The sequence below is a fragment of the Homo sapiens genome, chromosome 10 (assembly GCF_000001405.40).
Source record: "Homo sapiens chromosome 10, GRCh38.p14 Primary Assembly".
NCBI lineage: Eukaryota > Metazoa > Chordata > Mammalia > Primates > Hominidae > Homo > Homo sapiens.
In genome coordinates, this window is record NC_000010.11 from 16,786,520 (window position 1) to 16,809,185 (window position 22,666).

Below are 22,666 nucleotides of genomic sequence, written 5' to 3' on the forward strand. Positions count from 1 at the left end.
CAGGCACTAGATGTGCTCATTACTTTGGGGTGGGGGGGAGTCAGGTACCCTCGGCCCCTCTCAGTGGTCAGAGCTAGGGAATAACACACTCCTAACACCTGTACTGATTTCACTGTCTACTTCTATTTTTAAACACCCTACGTTCACCCCAATCTACCCAATTCCAATACATCTCAGGGCTCATTCTAGTTTTCTCCCTTCCCGTATTTGTAATTCTCTCCTCTAACGACGAGAACTCCGCTTCGTTGGCCTTTAAACCGTTTACTTATTTAATAAATGCCCCTATATAGAGCTACATAAAATGGTTATCTTACAGTGAAACCGGGACAGCTCTGTGCTCATCTGCAAGGACACCTGGAAGTTTGGTACTGATTCTTAATCAAGATAAGGAGGAGTGGGCCAGCTTAAAGTTAAAAACGCCCCTGGTGGTCCCCAGAGCCAGCTTGCTTGAACATTCAGGGAGGTGCGGATCGGATCGATGCCTTACACCTGGACACAGGGCCTGGGTTGGCTTGGTGACTGGCCAAGCACAGAAGACAGTGCTTGATGTTTCTGCCCAGGCTCTCCTGACACCAAGATTCCTTGGACACGTGTTGATGGTTCATAATCTGGAGACAAAATGTGCCCTTTGGAGCCACAACAGTGAGTCTCTTGGGTCACTGATGCTGGCTTGTGCTTTCTTCCTACAGCTGAACCACCTCCTGTGCTTTTATTAAGTCTTCACGTGAGCAGGTGCTGTGGAATCTTGCGAGCCCTTTCAATTATCCAACACGTGTTCCACTATGTAGAGCAACCAATCTCCCCATCACCCCTTCCTCCTCACTCTGCCCTGATACTAAACTCCATGCCAGGCCACCTCCACCAGGACGCCCTCCTCACTCTGCCTGGGCCCCGACTTGCCCAACCCGCACGGCTGCTCCCTTCACCAAGGCGCCAATGCTCCCCCGCAGGCCACCCCTGAACGCCTCTGTTTTCCTGTCCCACTGATATGGTTAGGCTGCGTCCTCGCCCAAATCTCACCTTGAATTTTAATAATCCCCACATGTCAAGGGCGGGGCCAGATGGAGATAACTGAATCATGGGGAGTGGTTTCCCCATACTGTTCGTGTGACAGTAAATAAGTCTCACAGGATGTGATGGTTATATAAATGGGAGTTCCCCTGCACACGCTCTCTTACCTGCCCCCATGTAAGATGTCCCTTTGCTCTTCCTTCATCTCCTGCCATCACTGTGAGGCCTCTCCAGCCATGTGGAAATGTGAGTCCATTAAACCTCTCTCTTTATAAATTACACAGTCTTGGTATGTCTTTATTAGCAGTGTGAAAACAAACTAATACACCCAGTTAATGGCTTTAGGACTGAATTGTTACAGAATGGCACAGAAAGAGGCTAAGGGGAAGAAGAAAAGCATTTTTGTGGCTTTTAAACAGAATCCTGATAGTGGTTTCCCACATCATGGTTAAGATTTTATACGCTGCAGAAATCTCACACATTTTTATTTCTTTGAGTTCAGATTTTTCTGTCCACCAGACAAAGCATTGCTCTATCCCTGAGATGTATAGTCTGACATGAAAAAAATCTCCCCAGAAATCCCTGATAACAAACAAGATTATTAAATAGATTCATAGATGTATCAGTTAAGACTATGCTCAGCTTCATGTAAGAGCAAACCACACTCAACAGGAGTTACACAAAACAGGAGTTTCTCTCATAGGCAGTCCAGAGGCCCCTGGTTTCCCGTTACCAAGCCATCCCCTATGCATGGCTCCCACCTTGCTAGGGACTACACATTTGAACGTTTTCCCCAAAAAATTCATATACGGAAGCCCGAATCCCCAGTGTATGGTATTGGGAGGCGGGGCCTTTGGGAGGTGATTAGGTCATGAGGGTGGAGCCCTCATGAATGAGGTTAAGTGCCTTCATAAGAGGAGACATGTGAGACACGATCTCTTTCTCCACTGGGTGAGGATACAAGAAGGTGGCCTTCCACAAATCAGTAAGACAGCCCTCACCGGACACAATGCATCCGTCAGTACCTTGATCTTGCATTTTCCAGGCTTCAAAACCACGAATAAAAAACTTCTGTTGTTTAAGTAACCCAGTCTATAGTATTTTTGTTATAACGGCCAGAGCTGACTAAAACACACCTCAAGATCCAAGACGACAGCCTGAGCTCAGCCATCACATCTACATTCCTCTCAGGAAAAAGGAAAGGATAAAGAAGGCTTCCTCCTTCAGGACACTTCCAAGAAGTTGTACAAGGTATTTCCACTTACAAGCAATTAATCAAAATTCAGTAACACAGTGATGCCTAGCTACAAGGCTGGCTTCTGGGTGACCACGTGCCAGCTAAAAATTAGGGGTTTTATTACCAAGAAAGATGGGTGAGCTGCAACTGGCAGACAATTAGCAGTGTCTCACACCTGCAGACCATCCATCTGAGAGTCACTGAAGTCAAAAGAAAACTGAAGGTACTCCCATCTTCCCTTAATTTCTCCGAAAATAGCACAAGCAACTAATTAGCAAGGAAAAAAAAATGTTGCTCTTCTCAAAAAAGTGCAAAGTTCACAAGCTCAGGTTCACGAGGACAGATTTAATGAGGGAAAACTGGTTCTTTTCAGTCATTTCATTGTGTCCTTTCAACAAACACTTAGCAGGAGAGAAACTAAAAAAGTTTAAAAGTTGTGTTTTCTTTTCTTTTTCTTTAATGGAGAAGAGAAATTCAGTCGTTGCTTCAGCCGATCACACCACTAGAATGTATTTTTCTTTCTCACTCTTGCCACAGGACCACATGGTAAAGTAGGTAAGAGGAAGAAAAACAAGAGCAGAAAAGAAAAAGTTAATAAAAGATCTTTGAGAAAAATATTTAGGGCAACAAAGGACTCCAGGTCGGGTCTGCAGGGAAGGCAGTGAAGCTGAAAGAATCAACAGACCCCCACAAAGCCCGGTCAGGCAAAGACCAAGTGGAGACAGACATATTTATACAACCAGTCACTCCTTTCCACTCGGGAATGGTGAGTTCACTGTGAGTCTTGTATGGAAACTGAGCTGTTAGAAAAGAAGGGAGAAAAGGTCTACCGAAATAGAATGGGTTATTTAAAAGTACAAAAGCTGCCCCCGTTGAACGTGTCGGGAAAATGGGAGCAGGCTGTACCACTGACCCGCTACTGGTGCCTTGCTGACCGTAATCACACCTGGTAGATTTTCTGCTGTGTTGATAACATCTTCTAATGCTCCTGCTAACCAGACACCATTCAGAATGAGCTCCCCCAAAGCAGTGAGAACAAACTGTTATTAAAATTCCTAAAGCAATATTCAACTATGCTTTGCCCGGGCATTTTCAGAGTAGAATACATTTCAAAATTCAACTCAGTAACTAAGAAAACGTGTTGACGTGCACAGTTAAATACTACAGTGCCTTGGTTATCATTCTACTCTAGCCTCTTTAGGAATGTTATTTAGGTGAACGTTGGATCTGGCCAAAATGAACAGAGGGAAGCAAAATCAATGGGAGGGAAGCATTTGTGGGGTGTGGGGGCAGGGTGAGGTTGCTGGCACTGTCCCTGTGATTTATGATTTTTTTATTCTTGAGCCAGGAAGGGAATCAGCAGGAAAATGCTCAAAAGGAACTAGTTGGTTCAATAATTTCAAAAGAAAGACAATCAAGGACTCACGCAGGCACTTATTGACTGGATATTTACTGATCACACTCAGAGCGCCGGCCGTCTCTACCTTGGAGATTCTCTTAGAGGCAGCATCGACCACACATCCTGATTAGCCTGGAATGGTCTTGGATTATACCAGCTGTCCCTCTAAAAAATGTCCTGGTTTGGAGGATAAGCTACACGACCACACAACTTACGGAACAGAGAATATGGACCAACCACCTAACACGCTAGGTATAAGAATCATGGACACTGAGAGGTGGATTTAGAAAGACAATGGCAGTTCAGAAAGAGATGTTACTTATCGTAGGATGACAAACTGAGAAATGCTTTAGGGTAGAGAGTACACCATGCACCCAGGGGACCTACACAACTCACGGGTGATGGAGTCAATCCCAGGCTTATCTGAGCACAGAGATGAAAAACAGGGAAGGCATATGATAGGGTCTGGCTCTGTGTCCCCTCCTAAATTTCATGTTGAATTGTAATCGTTTGTGTTGAGGGAGGGACCTGGTGGGAAGTGACTGGATCATGGGGGTGGATTCCCCCTTGCTTTTCTCATGATGGTGAGTGAGTTCTCACCAGATCTGGTTGTTTGAAAGTGTGTTAGCACCTCCCTATTTGTTCTCTCTTTCTCCTGCTCCCATCACGAAGACGTGATTTCTTCCCCTTCGCCTTCCACCATGATTATAAGTTTTCTGAAGCCTCCCAGCCATGCTTCCAGGTACAGCCTGTGGAACTGTGAGCCAATTAAACCTCTTTTCTTCAGAAACTACCCAGCCTCAAGTAGTTCTTTATAGCAGTGTGAGAACATACTAATACAGGATATAACATGGAAGGAGTGGTCAGTATTTTAATGGAGTAAATTCAGAAAAATCAAAGAACTAGCTGGAGTGCAGTGGCATGATCTTGGCTCACTGTAACCTCCACCTCCCAGTTTCAAGCAATTCTCGTGCCACAGCCTCCTGAGTAGCTGGGGTTACAAGCATGCACCACCATACCCAGCTAATTTTTCTATGTTTAGTAGAGACAGGGTTTCACCATGTTGGCCAGGCTGGTCTCGAACTCCTGACCTCAGGTGATTCACCTGACTTGGCCTCCCAAAGTGCTGTGATTACAGGCGTGAGCCACCTGTCAAAAAAAATAAAAATAAAAAATAAAAAAACTGGGCAGGTGTGGTGGCTCATGCCTGTAATCCCAGCACTTTCGGAGGCCGAGGTGGGCAGACTGCCTGAGCTCAGGAGTTCAGGATTTCAGGACATAGTGAAATCCCATCTCTACCGAAGTACAAAAAATTAGTCGGGCATGGTGGTGCATACCTGTAGTCCCAGCTACTTGGGAGGCTGAGGCAGAAGAATTGCTTGAAACCAGGAGGCGGAGGTTGCAGTGACCGACATCACACCACTGCACTCCAGCCTGGGCGACAGAGCGAGACTCCGTCTCAAAAAAACAAAAAAAAAAAAAAAAGAAAAATCGAAAAACTAAAACTCCTAGAGAAAGAATCATTATGTCTAGATAACTCATGGAAGCAGGTATCAGTATTTGAAATAGGTCCCGCTTTTTCCTCTTCTTCAGGATAAAGTAGACAATATAAGGAAGGCAAAATAAGCAGGATAAAATCCACAGCCCTGTAAGATGACATTACAGACTCGTTCCCAAGGTGGCCCAACTTATCACAAAGATGTGGAACTCTGGAACTTGTCTCCATAGTTTTCAATCTGGCAAATTAGGAAGCAAATGATTCCTTTAGTAGCACTTCAGAGATGGGAAAAAGTTCTAGTGTCACAGAATGGCACTTACATCCAGACAGATGAGGGCGAACAAAGCCAGGATGAGACACGGGAAATGAGGCCTGAAAACACACAAAATGATATGGAACTTGGAAGTTTCTAAGATCTTCTCATGGGTGAGCATTGGCCATCTTGGACTCTAAATGAAAGGTTCTGTAACGTTGGTCATAAAAACTAGACTGCAATCACCAGTTCAGCTCACAGACTGTGCATTCCGAATGAAAGCCACTAAAAAGGCCTTTGCTATCTGCAAAGGATTCATCACTTTTTTGTTTGTTTTGAAACAGAGTCTCACTGTCGCAGGCTGGAGTGCAGTGGCACAGTCTCGGCTCACTACAACCTCCACCTCCCGAGTTCAAATGATTCTCCTGCCTCGGCCTCCCGAGTAGCTGAGACTACAGGCACGCACCACCACAACTGGCTAATTTTTGTATTTTTAATAGAGACGGGGTTTCATTACGTCGGCCAAGCTGGTCTCGAACTCCCGACCTCGTGATCCACCCGCCTCAGCCTCCCAAAGCGCTGGGATTACAGGTATGAGCCACTGCGCCCGGCCAGGGCTTTTTCACACCTCTTGTGGTTTCAAATGTAACATGCTGGAAGAACCACCATACCTTCTAGAATATTCAAAGGAGTCTGCCTTGTTTTAGCACTGCAGGCTGCACTATTCCAATTCTGCAAGATTCTACAAGTTGCACTGTAGACAGAACCCTCGGCAGTTGTGCACAGAGACAGCCACGTTAATGCAAATCATCCCAGAGTTCTAGACCACAAAGAATTAACTGGATCTTAACATACAGCACGGTGTAAATGGCTTTTCCATTTTGGTTCCCTGGTGGACTAGAAACAGCCACAGCTTTAAATAACCCTCATCAGAGGCTCCACAGGAATGTGGAAGCTGGCCAGATGTCAGCACCGGGCAGCAATGCTGACCAACTTGAGCTCTGCATCTCCGTGATGCTGCTTAAAACGCCTGCCCATGTCGCATGGCTGAAGTTATTTCACCCTTGGTAGTAGGACACAGATTCTGATCTACTTACGTATGCAGGTTCTGACAATGTATTAAAATGAAGACAGACAATAAAATATTTGATATCAATAAATAATAAAAATATCATATTCACCAACACACCAGAATCATAAAAAGCTTTCTTCTGAATTTTGTTCATAAGGTAAAACTTTTAAAATATCACGGTGGGATGAAAGCTTTTCCTTATTTCACAACTAATTAGTGTGCAGGGTTACTGAAACTCTTCAGTAGTAAGTTTTCAAAACACTTGAAATTTTGAATACTTGACTGAATTCTACTATTTATAGATAAAGGGTCTATCAATCACAATTAAGTCCTCTCTCAATCAATGACAAAACAATTGAACATAAATGACAACTGAAAAAAAAAGATGGCCCCTGTTTCTACACATAATAGCAGCAAATTCACCTATCTTGAGAACCCCCCATGAGCTGGTCACTAATTGGAGTCTATGAGTCCATCAGGACATTAAGGAGAAAGAAGACAGACAGACCCAAGACACTGGTATTTAAATTATGGAGCCCACATCATTCTTGTCCAAACACACAGTTTTTGCTCCAGGAAAAAATACACAGAAAAACTATTTCTGAAGATGCCTGAGAGAATTAAAGAGAAAAATATAGTAAGCCACCTAAGATATGCAGTCACTGGATGGTATTAACAAAACTTGGTGAGCTACAGCTACTCTGCAAGCCACTGTACTTCTTTGGTGGGACAGGGATAGAATATGAGTGAGATGCAGCTGCTGCCCTCAATGAGCTTCCTCTGCAATAAGGAGATGAAATAAAACACTAGGATACAATACAGAAAGTGATGGTGAATGTTATTTGTCAACTTGACTGGGCTACGAGATACCCAGATAGCTGGTAAAATGTTCTTTTCCAGGGTCTGTGAGGGTGTTTCCAGAAGAGATTAGCATTTGAATCAGGGGACTGAGTAAAGAAGACCTACCCTTGCCAATGCAGGTGAGCAATAACCAATTCATTGAGCGCCTCAATAGAATAAGAAGGCAGAGGAAGGGAGAATTCATGAAGATCCATCTTCTCCTGCCCTCAGACATCAGAGTTCCTGGTTCCTGGGCCTTCAGATTCTGGGACTTGCATCACTGACACGCACCCCTCCTATGACTCTCCAGCCTTTGGCCTTGCACTAAATTACATTACCAACTGTCCAGGTTCTCCAGCTTGCAGACAGCACATCATGTGACTTCTTAGCCTCCATAATCACCTGGGCCAATTTCCATAATAAATCTCCATATATATATTGCCTATGGATTCTGTTTCTCTGGAGAACTCTGACAGGCAGACTTGTACCATAAAAGTACTAAGGTGCTTTGAAACTCCCATTAAAAGGGAAGTGCCTGAAAATTTTTTTAGGGTTAATAAAACCTTCAAGGACCAGAGTCCATTTTGTTTTATTTCTAACTACCTTCCTCCTCTGTCTCTTCTTTTTTCTTTTTAGCTTGTTTGTATTGACTAATTTTTCTAGCATAAACTATTTTATTTGTGTAACACAAAACTTATGCAGTTTTAGAAATCATGGTTATAGAATGTTGGAGCCAAAGGAACTCTAGAAATCAAACAACTTAAGCTCCTCAATTTACAGATAAGAAAACAGTGGGCCAGAGAAGTAAAGGTATTCTAAGATTCCACGGGCCAGCAGAATCAGAACAGAGTACAATCAAGGTTTCCAGATTCTAAATCTTGAGCTTCTTCTTTGCAAACTGGAAAATTATTATTGACACCTGGATGGAATGTCCTTTATGACAGCAATTCCAACCATAATAAAAATAATATAAACCTGAATGGAAAATTCCTTCCTATCTAGAATAAAATAAGACACAAAAGCAAAGCAAAGAACGCACAGTTCCTAGCAGGTGAGACCTGCCCTGTCATCCCATGAGATCCTGAGAAAAATCACTGGATTGTTCTGGAGCACAAATTCCTCATCTTTAAAATGAAACAAATAAAAGAGAGAAAAAAGATTATTTATGTAATGACCACTACATCACTGTGTTGTGCTGAGCACTTTACATATGTGTTCACTAGAATCAAAAATGTTAGAACAGTCCCGGCGTGGTGGCTCATGCCTGTATTTCCAGCACTTCGGGAGGCCGGGGCAGGCAGATCACCTGAGGTCAGGAGTTCGAGACCAGCCTGGCCAACATGGTGAAGCCCCATCTCTACTAAAAATACAAAAATTAGCCAAGTGTGATGGTGGGTGCCTGTAATCCCAGCTACTGGGGAGGCTGAGGCAGGAGAATTGCTTGAACCCAGGAAGCAGTGGTTGCAGTGAGCCGAGATCGCGCCACTGCACCCAAGCCTGGGCGACAGAGTGAGACTCCATCTCAAAAAAAAAAAAAAAAAAAAATTAAAAAAAAATAAGGTAATAACAAACAACAATAGCTAATGCTTACCAAATGCTTAAAACATGACTGGCACAGTTCTAAGAACTTTATCAATTCACCTATTTCTCACGATAACCCTACAAGGCAATAGTAGTCTCTTCTTCCCTCTCAATTTTAGATGAGAAAAATGAGACACAAGAGGTTATGTAACTTGTCTGTGATTTCAGAACTAGTAAGCAGAGAGAACCCCCTAAAAGCTGTTTCCAAACAAGAAGCTGATTAATTCTGATACTGTCTTACTGGCTAAACAAATATGCCACCGGTTGCATCCACAATTTGCCAACTGCATGGCATTTTATGATGTTCAAAAGACAAGGAGTTTAAGTACACAGGTTGTTTTTTTGCCAAAGTTAAGACATGAGCAGTATTAACTGTGCACACTTTGCATTTCAGAAAATTGGGTGTATCTTCAACCCCCCGGACCCCTAAACAAGCCGCCCAGGTGAGGCACCGGCACCCTCTTCCCAGGGGCTGATGTCAGACGTTTCTCTATCACTCTCCATTCTCCGCTTGAGCAGCAGCTCTCTGCGTCCGCCTCAACCTTCCCCCATACTTCTCACCTGAACCTGGCCCCACATTTCCCTGGGAAAAGTAAACCTTCTTTTCAAGCAGGAGGAGCTGGAATCCTAAACCTGCTGTCTGTACAAAAGCCACATGACTCTTGGAGCTCTAAGAGTTCTAAGTCCCTCAACAGTCACTAAATATTAGAAGACCATGGTGTGCCACCTGCTCTTACCCGAAGGCAAAACATGATTTGGTCTCGTAGGCAGCTCAACCATTATTTTTAACCTTGGATTTTGATTCTCTCCCCACATGTCATCCCTTATCCTGGCCTCCAAGTGTTGCCTTCTCCAATCCTATAACCAGTCACCTAGATTGACATTGATCATCAATCAGCCCCTAAGTCAAACTTAGGTGTGTTTCTTCTGATCTGCTCCAGGGCCTCGCTACGTCTTCACTGTGTGTGATGTCTCTTCTCCCAGTCCTGCTCCAGTCCATTCCCTCCACCTTTCTCTCAACACTGCAAACAAATCTGCCATCAATGACACCCACAAACCCTCACCCTCTTGTTCTTTCCTCACCCCAAAGGCCCATTAGACTCTTCACCCCTAAATCCCCCTCTTATCAGAGCTCCCACAATGGCAGCTTCAAAACAGACTATGCCACTGCTCAACAAGTATGAAATTGTCAAACTGTTCATCACAATGATCATTTTTTGAGTACCTGGTCTGCATCAGATACTACATACACATTATCCTTCATTTGAGGAGAAGCTTATTTTTCCCACTGTACCAAGGAGGAAAAAGTGTAGGTGCAGGAAACGTGGAGGCAGCATGGCAGATTTTAGGAATCCTGAAACCCTACATCAAAATAGAGAAACTAGGCAGCAAGAAAAAATTCAAGGACACAATTTACAACAAAACTAGGTTATAAAGTGTCCCCACAAAAAACTCCAAAATACAAGTAGATGAGGACAAGCTACCAGTAACCCAAAGATTGGCATGATATCAGCATGCATGTGACGAAAGCAGAGAGAACCCAAGGGGCAACTAACAAACTTGACAACTGAGAACCCCCGAATAGCTAAACAAATTCACCAGAAAGCCCAGAAGACCTCTGTGAGAATAGCAGCTGAAATTAGGAAGGGTTTGCCCATTCCAACAGCAGGGCCTGCAGTAGGGTCTGATGGATTAGGACAAGTCTAGGCCCTGTGACCTGGAAACTGACCACCTAGGGCTCCCTTGCAGGACAGGGCCTAGAATCAAAGCTGGATAAGACAGAAATAATAGAGACCAATGATAGAGGCACACTGCCTATAGGGTAGCCCTACTCCACAAGGAGCAGTAAGTAAAAATAAAACGCTTTTAAAAAGAGAGAGAAAAAGAGACCAAGGATAGAGAAGATCCAGATAAAAGTGGGCAGAAGGACTGAACCAAGTCATCTGAAAGCAAGCCACTGTATTTCTGAAAACTACATAAAATCAACCAGAGGACAGAGCTCTGTAAAGTTAGAAAAGCTATCTAGAACTAAGCCTTCCTCTGAAAGTTTAGGAAAATTAATTTCATTTAAAAATGAGCAACATAAAAAATATTGGGAGCAAATCCCATAACGTTATTATGGAATAAAAGGAAAAAGAAAGTGTAGAAGAACATCATTGACCATGAAAACTCACTAACCAAAAAGATGCCCAGAACACAGGGCAAAACTATAATTGACTATTTCAAAACAAGGTAAAAAGCCATTACAACAATGATACATGACACAAAACAGAAACATAAATCTGATTTCCAAAAATTCAGCAATAAAGGGACAAAACTTAAGAAAAAAATTAGAAACAAAAAAAATTATTTCAGAAATGAAAGCTAAATTCAAAGACATATAAGAGCAAATAAACACAATACGTAATACTTTACAAGAAACAGAAGTTAAAGTGGGGATTTCTTCTTTTTTTTTTTTTTTTTTTTTTTGAGATGGAATCTCTCTCTGTTGCCCAGACTGGAGTGGAGCGGGGCAATCTCGGCTCACTGTAACCTCCGCCTCTCGGGTTCAAGGGATTCTCCTGCCTCAGCCTCCAGAGTAGCTGGGATTATAGGTGCCCACCACCACGCCCGGCTAATTCTTGTATTTTTAGTAGCGACGGGGTTTTACCATGTTGGCCAGGCTGGTCTCGAACTCCTGACCTCACCTGATATGCCTGCCTCGGCCTCCCAAAGTGCTGGGATTATAGGCATGAGGGATTTCTTTTAAAACAAAGAAATGAAGCAAGAACAGGGATCTGGGCAAAAGTGACAAATATTAAAGATGGGCAAAAAAATCAACATACAGACCCCAGAAAACCATAAAGAACATAAGGAAAGAGCTCATAGACTAAAAATCACAATAAAAATACTTTCTTGAAATAAAAGGTATTTAAAAGTTCTGATATGGTTAGGCTGTGTTCCCACCCAAATCTCATCTTGAACTGTAATCCTCATAATCTTCGTATGTCAAGGGAGAGACCGGGTGGAGATAACTGAATCATGGGGGTGGTTTCCCCCATACTGTTCCCCCGATAGTGAGTTCTCATGAGATCTGATGGTTTTATAAGGGGCTCTTCCCCCTTCGCTCAGCACTTCTCCATCCTACTGCCTTGTGAAAAAGGCACCTTGCTTTCCCTTCCGCCATGATTGTAAGTTTCCTGAGGTCTCCCCAACTATGCTGAATGGTGAGTCAATTAAACCTCTTTCCTTCATAAATTACCCATCTTGAGCCGTTCTTTGTAGCAGTATGAAAACAGACTAATACAATTTTCAAACTTTAAAGAGCATACTACATACCTGGGAAATAATCAGACCAGAATGACCTACGCCCTACACCAAGTCATACTCCAGTAAAATTACAGGAAATAAAATTGTATCACCAGACTTTCAAACAATGCTTTATGCCAGAAGAAATAGAGTAACACATCGACAACACTCCAGAAAAGAAACTGTCGAGTCTCTATACCTGTAAAATTGACTTTCATGTAAAAAGAACACAAATTTTTATGTACTATCCACAGAAAAAACTCTGGGATTATTCTCTTGATGCCTTTCTGAGGAATATTCCAGAGTATAAGCTTCAGACAATCAAAATAACTAGAGATACATTGTCCTAAGGACTCCTAATGCGCATAAAAGATAGGGGTGCCTGTAGAACTAAGACTACGTGAGGGCTAAAGGAGAGACTGTATCATAGGAAATGGCTATATGTGCTGAAAATCTAGATACAGTTCAAATTCTAAAAAGCAGGGAGCCGTATTTCCAAAATTAATACCAGATTAGAGATGTATCGGGTTTCTGGTTAGCAAATAGAGATTCTGGACGTTGTCACTACCATACTCACAGTAAGAAGAAAGCTGAGCAAACAGAAAACAAACAACTCTTCCATAGATTCATTAGAAAACTCAGGTCACAGGGCAAACCACCATACCGAAATCTAGAGACAGGCAAACACAGAGAATCACAGCATAGTAGGAGCAGAAATACCTGCTGGAGCCAGCAACCGGTAGGAATGCCTCAAGGGTAACTGCCGAATTGCCAGAGACTGAGTGGTAAACTAATTTGAGAGATTAAAAACAACAACAACAACAACAAAAACAACAACAAGTTCCTGGGGGCCCGGTCTTAAGGGGTCTCCTGTACTTTGCTGAGTTTTACCTCTAAGAGCCCTACCAGGTTCTAAGGGTGAAAAAATTAGAAAAAAAAATCCCTCTGTGCTTCATGGAAGGGGAGAAGAGCAACCACTGTGAAAGAAGCCCAAAGCATTCTGCTCTCCTTAACAAACAGAGAAATGATTTAGCAGAGCCTAGGCTACCTGGGATTTACCAGAGCCTGACCAACAGGAACTGATGGAAATACCCAACTCCAGCCCGCTCACACCTTCCTGTCTCAATTTGGTAGCCGGGGGCGGGGAGGGGATGCGGGGAAGTTGAGAAACAGCTGTGAAGGTCACAGCCAAGTGGCACAGGCTCACTAGAGAGATCTAAGCACAGGATTACAGAACGTTTCCCTTTTCCCGATGCCTTCTCATCAGAAGGGGTCCTATAAAATAATACGGAATTACGGCAGAAGTTCAAGGCTCACACAGTATTTAAGGATTCAACAGGGAAAATCTAAGAGAAAAGGGGAGGAAAACACAAGGAAGACACAAGAGAAAATTTTACCCTCTGACACCCAAAGCTACAAAAATGTGAGAACTCGCACTAAAAGCCTATTTACCTCAGTTCCTTTTACCCAATGCATCATGTCTGGCTTACAACAAAATTACAAGGTACTCTAAAAAGAAGAAAGGCTGAGGAGAGAAATCAAGCAAAAGAAGCACACTCGGATATGGCAGATATTTTACAGTTATCTGACTGCGACTTTAAAATTAATATGATTGATATGCTAAGAGCTCTAATGGAAAAAGTAGACAACATGCAAGAAAAGATGGGTAATGTCAGCAGAGACAAAATCCCTGAGAGAATTGAAAGGAAATGCTAGAGTTCACAAACACTGTAACAAAAATAAAGAGCGCCTCTGACTGGCTCATTAGTAGAATGGATACAGTCAAGGAAAGAATCAGTGATCTTGAAGACATGTCAACAGAAACTTCCTAAACTGAAAAGCAAAGAGAAAGAAGAGTAGGAGAAAAGTAAGACAAAATATCTAAGAACAATGGGATAATTACAAAAGGCGTAACAGGCATGTTGGTTGATTATAGTTTACAGATAACTGAAATGAATGATACCGATTCTATAAAGAACAACAAGAAGGAACTGGAAATGTCTGATTTTAAGTTACCTGCACTGGCTCTGAAGTGGCACAGTGTTATTTAAAAGTGAGTTAAGATTAATTGTAAATGTATATTGCAAACTCTAGGGCTATCATTAAGAAGTTTTTATTCCTTGCTTTATCCTCCTTCTAAAAAATAAATTTTTAAATGTACATTTGCTGAGAAAAGAGAAAACGGAATATGTTGTGAGAAGAGAAAATGAAATCATATTAAATGCTCAATTAAAGCCACGGAAAGCAGAAAAAGAGCAGAAGACAAAAAAAAAAAGAACAAGGGCAAGAATAGAAAACACTTATTTTGTAGGTATTAATCTAAGTAATATCAATTATCACATTAGATGTTAATAACCAAACATATCAATTATAAGACTATCAGTGTGGATCTTTTTTTTAAAAAAAAAAACAGGATCTAACTATATGTTATCTATGAGAAATCCACTTTAAATATAAAATATAGATACAACTAAATTAAAAGTAACGGGATGGAGAAAGAGATATGACGCTAAACGCTAAACAAAAAAAGCTGCAGTAGTCATGTTAATTTCAGACAAAGCTGACTTCAAAGCAAGGAAGATTATCAGAAATAAAAAAGGGTATTACATGACGATTAAATGGTAAACTTTCCAAGAAAGACACAGCAATCCTTAATGTGAATGTATCTAACAACAGCGTCAAAATATGTTAGACAAAAACTTATAGAAATGCAAAGAGAAAGAAACAAATCCGCTATTATACTTGGAGACGTCAAGACTCCACTCTATCAGTAATTGACAGATCCAGCAGGCAGAAAATCAGTAAGGACAGAGTTAAAAACACAACACCACCATCTATCAGCTGGATATAATTGACATCTATAGACTACTCCATCTAACAGAAAAATGCACATTCTTCTGAAGCTTGCACAGAACATTCATAGACATAGACCACATTCTGGGCCATAAAACACCCCTTAAACTTAAGAAAATAGAAATTATACAATATATGCTCTCAGTCCACATTGGAATTAAACTAGAAATCAAACGAAAGATAGCTGAAAAATCCCAAAACATCTGGACATTAACAACATATTTCTAAATAACATGTCAAAGAAATGTCAAAAAATTTTTAAAAATATTTTAATTAAATGAAAACGAAAATACTACTTATCAGAATTTGTGAACTGCAGCAAAATCAATGCTAAAGGAAATTTATAGCATTAAATGCATGTATTACAAAACAAGACAGTTCTATTAGGTTGGTGCAAAAGTAATGGCAAAACGGCAATTACCTCTGCACCAACCTAATAAAATCAATAATCTAAACTTCTACCCTAGAAAACAAGAAAAATGAGAATGAATTGAACTACAAGTAAACAGAAAAATATTAATAAAAATTAGGGCAGAAATCAGTGATACTTAAAAGGGGAAATAATAGAGAAAATCTCTGAGTACAAAAGCTGGTTTTTGGAAAAGATCAATAAAACTGGTAATCCTGTAGGGAGGCTAACCAAAAAAAAAAAAAGAACGAACAAATTACAAACAGAAATGAAAGAAGGGCCATTACTACTGATTTCATGGATGTTAAAGGGATAATAAAGTAACATTATAAACAACTCAATGTCCAAAAATGTTATAACTTAGATAAAATGGACCAACTGCTGGAAAGACATAATCTACCAAAATTCACACAGGAAGAAACAGATCATTTGAGTGGGCCTACGTCTATTAAAGAAATTGAATCATAAATTAATAACCTTCTAAAAGAGAAAGCACTATGCCCAGATAGGTTTACTCATGAATTCTACCAAACGTTTAAGGAAGAAATTATACCAATTCTCTACAATACCTTTCACAAAATAGAAGCAAAGAGAACAATTTCTAACTCATTAAGCCAAAGACATTACAAAAAGGAGAAACTACAGACCAATCTCTCTCATGGACATAGATACAAAAATCCTCTACAAAGCGTTAGCAAATAAATTCAAAAATGTACTAAGAGTACACACAATGACCAAGTGGAACTTACTCCAGGTATGCAAAGGTGGTTCAAATTCAAAAACAAAAGCAATCCATCACTTCAAACAGGTGAAAGAAGGAAATCCATACGATTATATGCATAGAGGCAGAAAAAGCACTGGAAAAATTCAACACCCATAAAAACTCTTAGCAAACTAGGAATAGAGGAAGAACTTTCTCAACTTAATAAAAAATATCTACAAAAAACCTGCAATTAACAAGATACTTAATGTTAAGGAACTAGTTGCTTTCCTACTACAGTTGGGAACAAGGCAAGGATGTCCCCTCTCACCACTTCTAGCCAAAATCAGATTGGACGTCCTTGTTAACGCAGTAAGGTAAGAAAAAGCAGCAAAATGTATGCAGATTGGAAAGGATGAATTAAAACTGTCTTTCTCCACAGATAATATGATGTGTACGTAGAAAATCCCAAAGAATCAACAAAGAAGAACTGAAACTAATAACTACAGCAAGTTTGCAGGATACAAGGTAATATACAAAGGCAATTGCTTTTCTATATAAAAAAATAGAATTTTACATTAAAAACACACCATTTACATTAACACCAAACAAATGAAATATTTAGATATATAGCTAACAAAATATGTACAAGCTCTATATGAGAAAAGCTTCAAAGCTAGTATGGAAGAAATCAAAGACCTAAATAAACAATGAGATACTTCAGGTTCATGAACAGGAAGACTCAACACTGTTATGATGTCAGTTCTTCCCAAGTTGATCTACATATCAATTCCAGTCAAAATACCAGCAAGTTTATGGATATCAACAAACTGATCCTAAAATTTACATGGAAAGGCAGAACAGCCAATGCAATATTGAAGAAAATACAGTTGGAGCACTGACACTGACCAACTTCAAAACTTAATGTCAGTTATAGTAACAAGACAGTGTGGAGTTGGTGAAACAATAGACAAGTAGGTCACTGGAATAAAATAGAAAGCCCAGAAATAGACCCACACAAATATAATCAGCTAATCTTTGGCAAAAGTGCAAAGGCAATTCAGTGAGAAAAGGAGTCTTTTCAACAAACGGTGCTGAAACAGATGGACATCAACACACACACAAAAATCAATCTAGACAAAGACCTAACATCGTTCACAAAAATGAACTCCAAATGAATCACAGACCTAATGAAAAACACAAAGCTATAAAAATTTCTAGATATAACAAAGGAGAAAAATCTAGTTGACCTGAGATTTGGCAATGACTTCTTAGATACAATACCAAAGGCACAACTTACGAAGGAAAAACTTGATAAGACTTCATTATAATTAAAAATTTCTGCTGTGTGAAAAATATCATTAAGGGAATGAAAGACCAGCGCCAACAAGGAGAAAGTATTTGTTAACACACATATCTGATAAAGAACTAGTATCCAAAATATAAAAAAAAGACTTAAAACTCAGGAACACCAACCCAATTAAAAAGTACGTGAAAAATCTGAATGGACATCTCACCAAAGAAGATAAACATATGGCAAATAAGCATATGAAAAGATGCTCGGCATCATATGTCATTAAGGAATTGCAAATGGAAACAATGAGATACCACTGCATACCCACTAAAATGGCTAAAATCCAAAACACCAACAACACCAAATGCTGGTGAGGATGTGGAGCAACAGGAAACCTCATTCTTTATTGGTAGAAAACAAAATGGTACAGCCACTCGAGAAGACAGCTTAATAGTCTCTTATAAAGCTAAACATAATCTTATCACATGATCCAGTAATCACATTCCTAGGTATTCGCCCAGATGTGCTGAAATCTTCTGTCTATACAAAAATCTGCACAACAATGTTTACACCAGCTTTATTCATAATTGTCCAAAGTTGGAAGCTGCCAAAATATCATCCAATAGGTGAATGGATAACCAAACTGTGGTACATCCAGACAATGGAGTATTATTCACTGCTAAAAAGAAATGAGCTATCGAACCACAAAAAGACATGGCGGAATCTTAAATGCATGTTGCTAAGCAAAAGTAGCCAATCTGTAGAGGCTATATACCCTACGATTCCAGCTATATGACATTCTGGAAAGGGTAAAATTATAGAGACAAACTGTAACATTTCAGTGGTTGTCTGAGGTTTTGGAGGTAGATAATGAGGGAGAGGGGATGAAGAGGTAAAGCAGAGAGGATTTTTAGAGCAGTGTAACTGTTCCATGTGATACTGTAACGGTGAATACATTACATTAATTTGCCAAAACCCATAAAACTATACTATATACAGTGAACCCTGATGTTAGCTATAAGCTTTAGTTAATAATAATGCATCAACAGCCTGGCTAACTTGGTGAAAACCCATCTCTACTAAAAATTAAAAAAAAATTTGCCGGGTGTGATGGCGCCTGCCTGTAATCCCAGCTACTCGGGAGGCTGAGGCTGAGGCAGGAGCATCCCTTGAACCTGGGAGGCAGAGGCTGCAGTGAGCCCAGATCACACCATTGCAATCCAGCCTGGGTGACAGAGTGAGACTCCATCTCAAATAATAATAATAATAATAACGCATCAATATTGGTCCAGCAATCATAGCAAACGTAACACACCAATGCAAGATGTTAATATGGGAAACTAGGAACGGGGGATGGAGGAGAGACGTGGATCTGTACTTCCTGCTCCAGCTCTCTGTGAATCGAAAACTGCTCTTCAAAAAATAGCCTTTTTTTGGCCGGGAGCGGTGGCTCACGCCTGTAATCCGAACATTTTGGGAGGCCGAGGAGGGTGGATCACGACGTGAGGAGATCGAGACCATCCTGGCTAACACGGTGAAACCCTGTCTCTACTAAAAATACAAAAAAAAAAGTTAGCCAGGCGTTGTGGCGGGCGCCTGTAATCCCAGTTACTCGGGAGGCTGAGGCAGGAGAATGGCGTGAACCCGGGAGGCGGAGCTTGCAGTGAGCGGAGATCACGCCACTGCACTCCGACAGAGCGAGACTCCGTCTCAAAAAAAAAAAAAAAAAGCTTTTTTTTTTTTAAAGAGGGAGAATGAAGATAGCATATGCATAAGACAACTGTTTTTAGCAATACTGGCATTAGTAATATTAGTATTGTTAATTGCGTGTCAGGTACCAAATCTGAGACTGTGAGATATTCCAATTCTATCATCACCCATATCTGTAAGAGGCACGCTTCCGAGTGGAAGGGAGGTCAAGATGAGGACTAGAAGGAGGAGTTAAGTAAAAGCCTTGCATTCTGTTATGTATTTCCATTGGAACTACCAGTATAAGCTCAGGAGGCTGGCAGTCTCAGGACTTAAAGGGAGAGTGACTAGGAGGAGCACCAGCTCCCAACCTACTGATAATGTTTCTTGCTTTGAAAATCTGTCAACTTGTACTGTCATTATGCACTTATCGATACGAATACTTCAATAAGGTTTTTTGGAATAGATTTTTTTAAAACTATGTGTAAGTATTTTGGGAAGATGAAGGTTCCTGTTTCCCTGGTTCAAATGGGATAAACATAGGTAGTGTCCCTGAATGCATTCCTAAATTGTTACAGAATCATTAGCCCAGACAGGACAGCTACCATGGCTTCTAGAACATGACCGGGTGGCCACAGGCACTCAGCATGCTCGCTGAATTAGCCGTTATCTTCATCTCCTCCACAGGGTATGTGCATATGACTGTCAGAAACCAGTAAGGCAAAACAGGAGAAGCTGAGAACACTGCTTCCGACGTCTGCAGGTGTGGCTTCAAATCTGGGCTCTACCACTTATTGCCTGGGTGACTTTGAGCAAGTTAATGATGCTCCTTAAATCTGTTTCCTTACCTATTAACTATATAATGACAATACATTGTGAGGTTTGAAAGATTAATCCATACAGAGGGCTTAGCACAATGCCTGGTATGTGGTAAATGTGTGCGTGTATTATATTAATACACTCCATGCATAGATGGCATGGTATTTCAATCATATTATCTATTATTTTCATCCTCCTAACAAAGAGTGCACAACGTTGTAGAATACAAACATATAATAAATTACATAGGCATCTTTGACACGCCCTAAAGACTTAAGCATTTACAGCTGTTTCATTATTTATTTATTTTGAAAGAGTCTCACTCTTGTCGCCCAGGCTGGAGTACAATGGCGTGATCTTAGCCCACTGGAGCCTCTACCTCCCAGGTTCAAGTGATTCTCCTGCCTCAGCCTCCCAAGTAGCTGGGATTACAGGCATGTACCACCACACCCAGCTAATTCTTGTATTGTTAGTAGAGAGGGGGTTTCACCATGTTGGCCAGGGTGGTCTCAAACTCCTGACCTCACTCAGGTGACCCACCCACGTTGGCCTCCGGAAGCGCTGGGATTACAGCAGGCATGAGTCAGGCTGGGATTACAGCAGGCATGAGCCACTGCGCCCAGCCTCACTTACAGCTGTTAAGAACACCAAGTTACATAGACCACCATTCAAACACTGAGATTGCAAACCACATTACCGTTCTCCGGTCTGCACTGTGTCCTGAAAAACTAAGAGGCGAAACCTCCTTGCAAGTAATTGCTTGTTCTGATGTGTGCCTTTCATTTGGCCTCACCCTTAAAATTATAAGTTACACAGAGTCCAAAGGAATAATTAATGGATATGCAAAGAAACGGATGAAATAAGAAGGATCTTTATGAGGTATGGATACTATAACTAAAACTACCATTTAATGTACTTCAGGTTTATTCTATTTGATACATGAACCAATATTTCCCCAACACAATCTTTTCCAGCCCCATACTTTGTAGTGTTTTAAGCTAATGTTCTAAGTTTGAAGACAAAAGAAAATGAATTAACATACGGTATACAAAGATCTCACATCTGATCATTCCATTCTATTGAGATTAATAGTTTTTCAGGAAACCATAAAGAAAGTGGGGAGGGTTCTGCTAATATTGATGGAGATTAAGTTGCTTCTTATGTTTTCTTCAACAGTTAAAGCTCTGCAACCATCCTGTAAACCCAAGTTTCCAAGCTGGCAGGGCTAGCCCAATAACACTATTTTATTTGCTTAACACAGTGTTTTAAAGAATTCTGAGACGAGGTACGGTGGCTCACACCTGTAATCCTAGCACTTTGGGAGGCTGAGGCAGGCGGATCATGATGTCAGGAGACTGAGACCATCCTGGCTAACACGGTGAAATCCCGTCTCTACGAAAAATACAAAAAATTAGCCGGGCTTGGTGGCGGGTGCCTGTAGTCCCAGCCACTGGGGAGGCTGAGGCAGGAGAATGGCGTGAACCTGGGAGGCAGAGCTTGCAGCGAGCCGAGATCACGCCACTGCACTCCAGCCTGGGTGACACAGCAAGACTCTGTCTCAAAAAAAAAAAAAAAAAAGAATTCTGAAAATGAATGCCTTACGGTAAGGCAGGCCCTAGGAGTCACCTCTCCTTGGCATCCAAGCCTGGCCCTGGTGAGCCCTTCGGGGCTAGGATACAACACAGCACAGTATCACACAGCAAACCTTTCAGACACACTCAAGAGTGAACTCCAACCGGGCGCAGTGGCTCACACCTGTAATCCCAACACTTTGAGTGGCGAAGGCAGGTGGATCACCTGAGGCCAGGATTTCAAGACCAGCCTGGTCAACATGGCAAAACCCCATCCCCATCTCTACTAAAATTAAAAAAATTCGCCAGGCGTTGTGGCAGGTGCCTGTAATCCCAGCTACTTGGAAGCCTAAGGCAGGAGAATCGCTGGAACCTGGGAGGCGGAGGCTGCAGTGACCGTGATCATGCCACTGCACTCTAGCCTGGGCAACAAGAGTGAAACTCCATTTAAGAAAAAAAAAAAAAAAAAAAAACAAAGTGAACTCCGTTTCCACCACTGCCTGAGTGACACTGGGGACTTTATAGAACCTCCATAGCTCTCTACTTTCTCATCTATAAAATGCTGACGGTAGGTGAACCAAAGAGGGATGTTATGAGTGTGAGAAGCACTTACCACAGAGTAGGCACTCAGGTCTGTATCATTTGAGAACCTCTAATCTAGATGTTATGGAATGAACTATGTCTTCCCAAAACTAATATGCTGAAGCCCCAATCCCAAATACCTCAACATGTGACTATATTTGGAGATGGGGCCTTTAAAGAGGCGATCAGGTTAAAATGAGGTCCTTAAGGTGGACCCTATCCCAATCTGACTATTGTCCTCATGAGAAGAGGAAACTGAACAGACTGAGGGACAGCAGGGATGCAGAGGGAAGATCATGTGAGCACAGCAAGAAGACGGCCACCTGCAAGCCCAGGAGAGAGGCCTCAGGAGCAGCCAGCCCTGCTGACACTATGATCTTGAACTTCCAGCCTCCAGGACCGTGGGAAATAAATTTCTGTTGTCAAAATCACCCAGCCTGCGGTGTTTTGTTTTGCAGCCGTAGGACATTAACAAAGTAGGTACTATTAATCCTATTATTGGCCTTTTGGGCTTTGCTAGCACCTCAAACCTGAAATACTGTTTTACAGCATTAAGCATCACACGCTGAT

The 22,666-nt window shown here is 41.4% G+C and overlaps 1 protein-coding gene across 3 annotated transcripts in view, besides 5 other annotated features; it reads right to left on the reverse strand.

The window, feature by feature from the left end:
• RSU1 (Ras suppressor protein 1) overlaps nt 1–22,666 on the reverse strand; it is a 226,814-nt gene that overhangs the window by 195,909 nt on the left and 8,239 nt on the right. The window lies entirely within an intron of this gene.
• Nucleotides 917–1,417: an enhancer, noted in NCBI's record as "H3K4me1 hESC enhancer chr10:16829435-16829935 (GRCh37/hg19 assembly coordinates)". NCBI's record gives its function as "activates a minimal SCP1, AML or CMV promoter by ChIP-STARR-seq in primed H9 embryonic stem cells {active_cell/tissue: H9 hESC(primed)}" and the evidence as "EXISTENCE:reporter gene assay evidence [ECO:0000049][PMID:30033119]".
• Nucleotides 1,057–1,126: a silencer, noted in NCBI's record as "silent region_2180". NCBI's record gives its function as "represses an Ori minimal core promoter by ATAC-STARR-seq in GM12878 lymphoblastoid cells {active_cell/tissue: GM12878}" and the evidence as "EXISTENCE:reporter gene assay evidence [ECO:0000049][PMID:35858748]".
• Nucleotides 1,237–1,386: an enhancer, noted in NCBI's record as "active region_3101". NCBI's record gives its function as "activates an Ori minimal core promoter by ATAC-STARR-seq in GM12878 lymphoblastoid cells {active_cell/tissue: GM12878}" and the evidence as "EXISTENCE:reporter gene assay evidence [ECO:0000049][PMID:35858748]".
• Nucleotides 8,948–9,167: an enhancer, noted in NCBI's record as "active region_3102". NCBI's record gives its function as "activates an Ori minimal core promoter by ATAC-STARR-seq in GM12878 lymphoblastoid cells {active_cell/tissue: GM12878}" and the evidence as "EXISTENCE:reporter gene assay evidence [ECO:0000049][PMID:35858748]".
• Nucleotides 9,378–9,437: an enhancer, noted in NCBI's record as "active region_3103". NCBI's record gives its function as "activates an Ori minimal core promoter by ATAC-STARR-seq in GM12878 lymphoblastoid cells {active_cell/tissue: GM12878}" and the evidence as "EXISTENCE:reporter gene assay evidence [ECO:0000049][PMID:35858748]".